General features: G+C 42.5%; 2 annotated features.

Annotated features, from left to right (window-relative positions):
• Window positions 306-1,131: an enhancer, noted in NCBI's record as "OCT4-NANOG-H3K27ac hESC enhancer chr2:207901421-207902246 (GRCh37/hg19 assembly coordinates)". NCBI's record gives its function as "activates a minimal SCP1, AML or CMV promoter by ChIP-STARR-seq in naive H9 embryonic stem cells {active_cell/tissue: H9 hESC(naive)}" and the evidence as "EXISTENCE:reporter gene assay evidence [ECO:0000049][PMID:30033119]".
• Window positions 1,132-1,959: an enhancer, noted in NCBI's record as "OCT4-NANOG-H3K27ac hESC enhancer chr2:207902247-207903074 (GRCh37/hg19 assembly coordinates)". NCBI's record gives its function as "activates a minimal SCP1, AML or CMV promoter by ChIP-STARR-seq in naive H9 embryonic stem cells {active_cell/tissue: H9 hESC(naive)}" and the evidence as "EXISTENCE:reporter gene assay evidence [ECO:0000049][PMID:30033119]".

Consider the following 10,605-nt stretch of genomic DNA (forward strand, 5'->3'; position numbering starts at 1 on the left):
ATATGGGATTATCTCTCCAAGTTTCTGATTCTTTGTACAGAAAATAAACCTTTCTAGAGTTAAGACATATCATATGACATCTGCTGTTTATACAATATGAGAAACTCTCCTGAGCAGTGTACAGATCTTGGGATGTAACATCTACCCTTAGAAGTACCCGGCATATATTCATCTATGACTCCTCTTCATAACATGGGGTATACATTATGTTTCTGCAGTAGCAAGTAGGAGAGGCTTGTTGAAAGCACTGGCATTGAATGAGCACTGGACCTTCCAAGTCATTAGCAAGATTGAGACGAGCAGTAAGAAAACACAGTGGTTCTTAAAAAGTACCTTGTGTCATTTAAAGAGCCAAAGAAACTACTTACTATCCTGAGAAGGCAGTATTATGTGGACAGGAAGAATACAGACCTTTGAATTAGACTTGATTTGATTCTTGTATGTGGGGAAAAGCAAGAGAGATCAGATTGTTACTGTGTCTGTGTAGAAAGAAGTAGACATAGGAGACTCCATTTTGTTATGTACTAAGAAAAATTATTCTGCCTTGAGTTTCTGTGACCTTACCCCCAACCCCGTGCTCTCTGAAACATGTGCTGTGTCAACTCAGAGTTAAATGGATTAAGGGCGGTGCAAGATGTGCTTTGTTAAACAGATGCTTGAAGGCAGCATGCTCCTTAAGAGTCATCACCACTCCCTAATCTCAAGTACCCAGGGACACAAAAACTGCGGAAGGCCGCAGGGACCTCTGCCTAGGAAAGCCAGGTATTGTCCAAGGTTTCTCCCCATGTGATAGTCTGAAATATGGCCTCGTGGGAAGGGAAAGACCTGACCCATCCCCCAGCCCGACACCCGTAAAGGGTCTGTGCTGAGGAGGATTAGTAAAAGAGGAAGGAATGCCTCTTGCAGTTGAGACAAGAGGAAGGCATCTGTCTCCTGCCTGTCCCTGGGCAATGGAATGTCTCGGTATAAAACCCGATTGTATGCTCCATCTACTGAGATAGGGAAAAACCGCCTTAGGGCTGGAGGTGGGACCTGCGGGCAGCAATACTGCTTTGTAAAGCATTGAGATGTTTATGTGTATGCATATCTAAAAGCACAGCACTTAATCCTTTACATTGTCTATGATGCAAAGACCTTTGTTCACGTGTTTGTCTGCTGACCCTCTCCCCACAATTGTCTTGTGACCCTGACACATCCCCCTCTTTGAGAAACACCCACAGATGATCAATAAATACTAAGGGAACTCAGAGGCTGGCGGGATCCTCCACATGCTGAACGCTGGTTCCCCAGGTCCCCTTATTTCTTTCTCTATACTTTGTCTCTGTGTCTTTTTCTTTTCCAAATCTCTCGTCCCACCTTACGAGAAACACCCACAGGTGTGTAGGGGCAACCCACCCCTACACTTGTACTCCACCACTTACTATCTGAGTGAACTTAAGCCTCCTTTTCCTTGTCTGTAAAAGTGAGGAGCGGGGTACTAATTGAATAAGGCTTTTGTATATTATGGGTTGAATTTTGCCCCCTGGCACCGAAGTCCTAACCCCAGTACCTCAGAATGTGACCTTAGTTGTAAATAAGATCTTTGCAAATATAGTCACATGAAGATGAGGTCATTGGGATGGGCTCTGATCCAATATGACTGGAGTCCTTATAAAAAGAGGAAATTTGGATACGGACACACACAGGAAGAAGATGGTGTGAAGAGACAGAGAGAATACCACGCGAAGACAGACGATTGAAATAATGACTCTATAAGCCAAAGAAGTCTGGGACTGCTGGCAAACCACGAGAATGTAGGAAGGGGAATGGGAGGACCCTTCCTCTGGAGTTTCCAGAGATTGCACGGCCCTGCCATCATCTTCATTCCAGACTTCCAGTTTCCAGAATTGTACAATTGTACAACAATCAATTACCACACCGTTTGTGGTACTTTGTTACAGACAGTAGCCTTAGAAATGAATATATTGTAAATATTGAAAGCAATTCCTTATGTAAAGCATATTGTAGAACCTCAATCAATCCAAGTTCTCTTTCCAAAGAAAAAGATTTGTACATTGGTATGCAGACAAATACGCCTCACTTTCTCCCTTGAGCTCCACTATGATCTGACCACATGGCAGATGAATCTTTGAGTCTGCTTAAATTCTACAGAGTAGTGCCAGAAATTATCTGGTTTCCTGGGGGATCTCTGGGTTAGGACTGAGCCAAAATTCCTAGATCTGAATTAGAACAGAAGAAACTCCTGAATGGAACACAAACTGCCATTTATTGAGAAGAGCTGAGATGCTTTCCTCCAAGGGACACTGTGACACAGTGTCAGGCCTAGCCTAGATTTTCCCTGCATACCTCCTTCCCGGTAGCTGGGGCCTCTCAGCACTCACCTGCAGGCTTGTCCCCGGCCAAGATTCTGGGACTCTATAACCCTCTAAGGAGTACCTGCTTTGAGAGGCCGTTTGACACAGTGGCTGAGAGTGGACACTGGAGTTTGACTGCCTGTGTTTGATCCCAACTCTGCTATTTGCTGTGTGTCTTTGGGCAAGTTTCTCTCTCAGCCTCGGTTGCCTTCTCTGAAAAATGGGCATATTGATAATCATACCCAGCTCATAAGCTTGTGGTGAGGATTCGTTGACTTAACCTACTAAAGCTTAAGGATTGCTGTCAGGTTCCTAGGGTGCCTATTATTGTTTCTGCTGTTGCCATTAAGATCAGGTCCCTGCCTGCCCTCCAGTCCTGACAGCTGGCTTTCTAACCCAAAGCCTGAAGCCTCGTCTTAATGACTTGGTAGAGAACCAGGGCCTGAATCAGACTCTCTCTGCACCCTTCCACCATTGTCAAGGGAGGGAGTGTGGTGTCTATGACCCTTCTGTCTCCCTAAGACATCCCTGATGCTATTCACCTGCCAGGATGTCTGAACGCTCTGAACTGTCTATCCCTGTGCTCACCCCCTCATGGTGTCATCTTATGACACTCTGTGTTAACTCCTCCAATGGCAGGAAGTGATTGGGCTGTCACCTGCTGCCTGCCAGCCGGAATGGAGTTGCTTCACATCTCAGCAGCTGGACGGTCCCTAAAACACCTGCCCAGACAAGCAGGCTGCAATGCCTCCTATGTACTCTAGCTTCCTGCAGTTAAAGGAGCCATGTCTAACCATAAGACTGGATGCTTCCACGTCCCACCAAAATGGAGTTTGCCTGTTTTGACCACAAAGCTGCCAAAACATTACAAATAGTGGGGACTAGATGGACACTTGACAATCTCTAGTTAATAATGGCAAACCCATCACTCAATGGTATTGTATTTAATTTACTAAACCATAAGATCAAGCAGAATGGGAAATTCAACATTTGGAAGACTTTATAATATAAAATTTCATTTTGCAACATTCATTCTCTCTAACTGCCTTAATGAGTGGTATTGATATTTAGAAAAAACATCAATAGCAAAATATAAAGTCAAAAAAGTTTAGGTCCCTCCTTTCCCTATGATGACTTTAACTATAAGGTATTACTTAGTTCTACAAAATAAACAGCTGGAAGGGCAACTGAGCTACAGGAACACCTAGTGAGCAAGGCTTGTTATAAACGAAGGTTTGTCAAGTACTAATTATGTTCCTAACTATGCTAAATGCTTCATACACATAGTATAACTGAATCCTCATAATAAACTTGTAAATTAGTTACTAGTCTTTTTTTCTTACAGATAAAGAAACTGAGGCACAAAAGAGGTTAAATAACTTGACCAAGATTCAAAATCTACTGTAGGTGAGATTTTAACCTAGATCAAAGTCCAGACCCCACACACTAAGACACAAAACTCTTCTACACTCTTTCTTCCTTTTTCAGTTGATTTTGTCTCCTACAGCATGACAGTGTCCAACTAAGCACGCTCCTTCTAAACACATTCAGTGACATTTGCTTGTGAGAGCCACAGCCAGCAAACACTACCCTGACTGTCTCCAGCACAATGCAAAGTCACCGTGGCCCGCAGCGAGTTGCTTTTCAATTTCATTAACCTTGGTAGAGGCTGGGATGGGGCAAACACTAGAACTGGTTCTCCCAGCCAGCAGCCAGCTTGGACAGGGGCAGAATGTGATTGGGACCCGCCTTAGCATTAGAGGTGATGGTTCACCTCTAGACGAGATGGGCTCTGAAAAGTGATCCTTGAGGATTTCAAATATGTTGATGAAAATGGGAGTGGTGGAGGAAATGGTGAAAATTTTTAAGAATGTGCAGGCAGGAAATTAGTGGCAAAAGCTACCCTCTACCCGCCCCCCCTCGCCCCCAAATCAGAGAAAATGGCTTTAGGAAGTTATGCCTCAACCCCATTCCTGTTTCCTCCCCGTAAATCTACCCTCTAAGTAGTCCTCAAGGAATTGGAGTGGTTGCTTTCTCTCTGGCAATAACGGGAATTCCCACTACAGGACAATTAGAATACACCCAGAACTGCCAGTAAAATGTTTCAATGACTTGACTTTACTGGTTTTATAAAACAAGTGAAAGAAATCAGAGACAGTCCAAGATCCTCGCCAAGACGTGAAGTCTCTTTATGAAGTAGACTGCAGGGAACCGTGTGGGCTCCGGATCTCTAGTGCTTCCTCCAATGTGCTGCTTTTAACTAATGCCATCTGCACGGGGCCCTGTGGTCTCAGGAACACCAGCTCGTGACACAGACTTGAGATTTAGTCGCCACTTCCCTGAATATTTGTTCTGTGTTTTTGAGAGGATCCACTTGGTTTTTCTGAGCCTCGGTTTCCCCATTTGACACTTTCAGGTGATACTGTGTTTCTACCTGTTTCAGGCATAGGTACAACTTGAGGTCTTAGAGGGCAGCCAAACATTTAGAAATGCGATGGATTTTTCCCCTCCCCACTTTACACTTCTAGGTTGCTGTTTGAAGCCTCAGCATAAATTATTTCTGCTCTTATTGACTCCCTATTGCAAATGGGGGTGTGTGTGAGCGTGAGCACGTGTATTTGTGAATGCGCGTGCCCAGCATATCTGTCTCCTTTTCATTCTTTCTTTGTTCTTTCCCAAGGCTTCTGTGAGAGTAGCAAATAGAATGGAATGTCCTTGTCCAGCCTGCTCCCCCTCCTTAGGAGGAGGGATGGACCACTTCCTACCGCTCCCTTCCTTCATGCCCCCTCCCCCATCCTCATCAGTGCAGTTGATGAAATGAAAGCCGAGGAAGAGTGATTCGATTATTGCCTGACCTTTGCCGGTGCTGGAAAGAGTGTAGATCCACGTGCTTTCCTCCAATCCCCCTTTGGGGCTTTTCTGGACGTGCCCCCATAGGAGCTCTCCTGCGGCTGGGTTAAATCAGCCTCAATGGGCTGAATGTGGTTCAAAACCTAAGCGGACCCTCCCCCCAGCCCCCACCCCCACCCTGCTTTATCCCGCGTGGCGTTCATTACAAACAACAATTACTGACAGTAATCAGCTGTCCAGAATAACAAGGACGTTGTATTTTGCTCAGCTTTAGTGCAAAGGCGCATGAGCAAATCTTATTGTGTTCCAGCACAATAAAATACATCTGAAAATCCCCTTTTAGAATTCTGGAAAACATGACCCATGCTACTACTGCTTGATAACATGTAGGAACAATTCCTCTCTTCATTAGGTTGGATTTTCCTTTTGGGTAGAGCACAAACAGGTGGAGAGAAACCTGATGTTTAAGACAACTGTCACTTTGCCCATAATTTTTTGACAATCCTGGTGCTTGATTGGGAATATTTTACCAGACATCCACTGTTAGATTTCTTGGATTATACACCTTCAGGTGGTGTTGAAATTGTCAATAGTGAAACAAAAGCAGCAATTAAATACGAAGCAAGAGAAGAGAAACGGTGAGAAGTTAATACTCTATTTAAACCACTGGAGGGGTTGGAAAGCCGACTTACGAAAATAGCAGTAACAAAAAAAATCTGAAAAACAAATTCACCACCAAACAGTTTCTACTGCTCCATTTATTTCAACTAGTGTGGTATTAATAGAACGCCTAACAGCAGGGAGTAGGAAAATAAATGTATTCTCACTCACAAGGGAATGACTAAATGACTCACAAATGCAAAAATAAATAAATGGCTCCCTATGAAAATCTGAAACTATATTACCCCAACTGAAGCAACTAAGCTTTTTAACTGTAACCTAACATGTTAAATTCAATCAGTTTTATTTGAGGCCATAGATAGATCGAGCGATCAATCTCCATTATCCTGGGCTTTTTTTCATCTTCATAGTGCTATTTTTCTTCCTATGAGACATTTCAGTTCATTTCCTTGAGCCTTCTTCAGTTTAATGGCTGATTTTCAGACCAAAAAAAAATCCCCTTCCTCTAGAGGGAATGGAGAAAAATAGAGCAATGAAAAAAAAAATTTAAGAAGGGCATGTCTTAATTGTATGTAGTGGAGAGAAGGAGGACACAATGTGAGAAAAAGATAACAGGTAGATACATAATGTGTATTATAGCTGGTTTCAAATGTTATGTTAAATGTTAACAGGTGCTGCCTCCTGACACTATAAAAAGATCAACTTTTTGTCTCCTTTATAATTTGTGAACAGGTAGGCCCCGAGGACCAGAATGAGGTCATGCCAATTAACTCAATCACTCTGATTCCTGCAATCAGAGTGATAATGACATCCTTAGCAACCATCCTATCACTATGGCACCAGCCCACTGCTGTAAAAACCCTCTTCATCTACATTGGTTGTAGGTTGGGTGCCAAAGCTGTGATCCTAAAATACACAGGCTGAGAATTTACATTAAACCTTCCCCACCACCCCATCTCATCCAGGGGCATGACATCTTTCCTCTCTCAAAAGAGGTGCAGTGAGAAAATAAAATTTTCATTGGCTCCAAAAGTTAAGGTTTTGGGCTTTCTCCAAACCTATATAAATCATTAGTTGGCTCTTTGGAATCGCCTTCTATTAAGAGAAGCTAATGAGCTTTATCTTTCAACTTTATCCAGCCTGATTACACTGTACATACCTAGTTTCACATAAAAACTATTCGTTACTGGACTGCTTTTATCAATAGACATTAGTAGTTAACTTCACAGGATGGGAACTGATACTCTGAAGGCAGCAAAACAAAAACCATCAACGACATCTAGGGCTTTCTTCCCCAGAGTACTTTAAATAATGTTAGTTCCCTAGAGATAGATCAAATATATATAACAAACAAAAGGAGAGCAATCAAGAACATATAGTCCAAAAATATCTAAAAAGTATCTTTGGTGGGCACATTTGCATCAATAAGCTTCTCCAGCTTATAGTGTTTCAGACTGAGCCAACTTTCATTATGCTGAGCCTCTCCTATCTGCCCCTCATTATATTGGATACTTTGGGAAATCCATAAAAATCTAAGAAACTTGAGTCTATCCTTATCTTCAAGGAAGCAAAAATCTATTTGGTGAGAGAGACATCTGAATAATCAACAACAACACAGATCTAATAGGAAGATAAGTCTTTATGGTGTAGGGTCTTCATGGCCATCAATTCCTTAAAAGACTCTGACAGTATATCTTAAGAAATAATAAAATAAAAGAGAGAGGAGAAGGAAGAAGGTGGGGAGGAAGAAAAGAAGGAAGGAAGGAGCAACCAGTCTAAGAAGAAACCAGAGACCAAAGATCAACAAAACACACCAGCAGTGTCAAGATAAGGCAGTTGATAGATACCTCAGGGCCTTTGCAGTTGATCCCCTGGAGGGAATCCTCTTTACCCAAATCTTCAAATGACTTATTCATTTTCACACAATATATCACTTACTATGTACTTTTTCATTGTTTATATCCTTCCCTCTCCTCCCCTTCCAACCAGGAACTCTGTCCTAAAATAGTGCTAGCACAAGGTAGGTTCTCAACAAATTTGCTGAATCAATGAACGAATGAATGAATGACTAGGAATAGTTACTTGTGTGGGATGGAAACTGCATATTGGAGGAGAGAGTCTGGTAAGCACAGTGAACAGCACAACTGAAGTTAGGGCTGTGTTCTCAGACAGATTCCCTAAGCACCAATAACAGTGTCGGCAGGCCTAGGACTTCAGAAATGATTTGCAGAGCCCACGTTATCTGTAATGTCAGCAGCTACCATATATTTTTCACTGACGGATATCAATTCTCCCTTTTCCTAATTGATTCCAGTAACATAGATACCCTGAGTGCTGTATACAGCTCACTGATTGCTGGGCAAACATTATTGAAGTGTCAATATTTGCTCTTTTTCCTAGAGCATCATTGTCGAAAAGACTGCAATTCATTTGGGGACATGTCTCTTATATTTAATGCACAGAGAGTGCCGATACAAACTAAATCTTCATTGTATTATTCTTTACCCTCGCTCTGGTCACAGGGATGGCTTCACTCACCAGCCATCGTGGCTGTCCTTAGGCAGCTCCAGATATCTCCCCCACTGGATGCTGCTACTGGCGACCGCTACACAGTATTATTGCCACCTCTTCTGATGAGCCCTGAAAAAGAGAATCTAGAGAGGCTTGGGCTCCTGCTGTCAAGATTCTTAATCCTTCTCTCCTGGACTACCTTAGATATGGCCGTTGGCTTTCCTGTCTGACCACGGGGTCCTCAGCATCTTGGGTTAATCTGAACCAAGTTTTGACCAAAAGTTCCATTGTCATGTGGCTACATTATTTCAAGGATAAACACATATAACAGACATTGGAACATACTCTTCCATTGTGGCAAAACAAGCTCACAGTTCCTTTTTAGGTTTGTTTATTTTTGCCTTAGAGAGAAGGGACTTTGCCTTGGCGGAGTCGGTGACCTAAGGCTAGGTCCCCATTACTCATATGGAGGTGATTTTTCCTACACTCATTTCCAGTTGCAAATAGAGCCATGTTCCAGTGCTTTCTGTCTTCTGGGAAAATTCCTGTAGCTAGCTTCCCTTGGAGCATGTGCCCTGCTGCCTCATTAAATTAGTGTGTGCTATTCTAGCCCTGAGCAGACCTGTTTTCAGAGTTACTTTCCTCCCACTCCCACTGGGCGAGAATTCCAGACTTAGAATCAGAATAGACCAAATCACTGTTATATACATAGGGGTTTTGAAGACATTTTATGACCAGGGTCTTTGTTTCTGATGACCCCAGAAACAGAAGTGTTTTAATTTCTTGATATCTAAGTTGAAGACATTGATAAACTGCTTCATTCCTTCCAGCCATGTTAATGGCAATTGAGGAGCTTCTGAAAACGAGGAAAACCTGTGATGATCCTGAAACTATAATCTGATATGACGTGCTAGGCAGTGATATTTCTGATTAGTCATCACTAGGCCACCTAGACTTTCAGTTTACTTCTAATTGTGTTTCAGATAATGCTATTCCCAGTTAGGCAGATGATCATTGTAATTTCTGGTAATGAAATGGCAAGGGAGCCCATTCTGTACTGGGAAGAGAGCCAGAGCCCAGCACTTTATAAGAAACAAGTGTTACGGTCTAGGACAGAGAAATGAAGCCAAGGTGCTGTTGAACATTTACAGTATGTATCAGATTGATTCTATCTCTCTCATACTCAGGATTGATTTATTTTAAAAAGGACATTCCTCAGCTTGAAAGAAACTCTGCAGAAAGCAAAGACACCACATTTTTTCTCACCCCTTTGTACCGTTTAACATGCCAAAGAATCACTGTTGACCTTCCATGATGGCTAAGCCATTTTCTCTCACCATGGATAATAGTGGTTTGGTCCATAACTTACACAACTGGCATCAATAAATAATAATGGAGCTTTTTGGTGAGTTATTAAAATGATTGTGGATAAGAACTCTCTAGATGAAAAAGGAGAATAGAAGGGAAGAAGAAGAAGGAGGAGGAGGAGGAGGAGAAAGGAGCAGCAGCAGCAGAAGGAGAAGAAGGAAGAAGAAGAAGGAAGAAGAAGAAGAAGAAGAAGAAGAAGAAGAAGAAGAAGAAGAAGAAGAAGAAGAAGAAGAAGAAGGAGAAGGAGAAGGAGAAGGAGAAGGAGAAGGAGAAGGAGAAGGAGGAGGAGGAGGAGGAGGAGAAAAAGAAGAAGAAGAAGAAGAAGAAGAAGAAGAAGAAGAAGAAGAAGAAGAAGAAGAAGAAGAAGAAGAAGAAGAAGAACCAGCAGCAGCTTCCCAAAAGGTATGGGATTGTCAGCACTTCTTTTCATGTTTCTTATCATTTTACACTCAAGTACTTTTATAACAAAATAATCACCTGGCTTTGAACTTCTGGATCTTTACACCTTCCAGCTAAATGCTGAAACCCTGAATCTAAATGGCTCCTCTTGAATATATCAAGTAGTTCTTTATTCAATCTCATAGGCATGAAGAGTTCATTCCCCTTCAAGGTTGAAATCCATCTCTGTTGAGTCTGTACACATTGATGGCTCTGCAATTTGTTCCCTAGGCTTCTTTGTCAACAGGCTTCTGGCTAGGTTCAGTCAATGGGAGGCACCAAAGGGCAGGAGGAGGGGAGAACCCAGCGTAAGTTCTCTCTTTCTTCTTCAGGTCACAGTTCACAGTAGTGATTTTATCTTCTCTATGGTTTAAGCTGCCCTCCCGCAGCCTCTTTCTCTGAGGTTCCAGCTCCTACCAAGTAGTCCCTGATGTCTGGCTTCTGTAACATCACATTTTCCCTG

This window comes from Homo sapiens, chromosome 2, assembly GCF_000001405.40.
Source record: "Homo sapiens chromosome 2, GRCh38.p14 Primary Assembly".
NCBI lineage: Eukaryota > Metazoa > Chordata > Mammalia > Primates > Hominidae > Homo > Homo sapiens.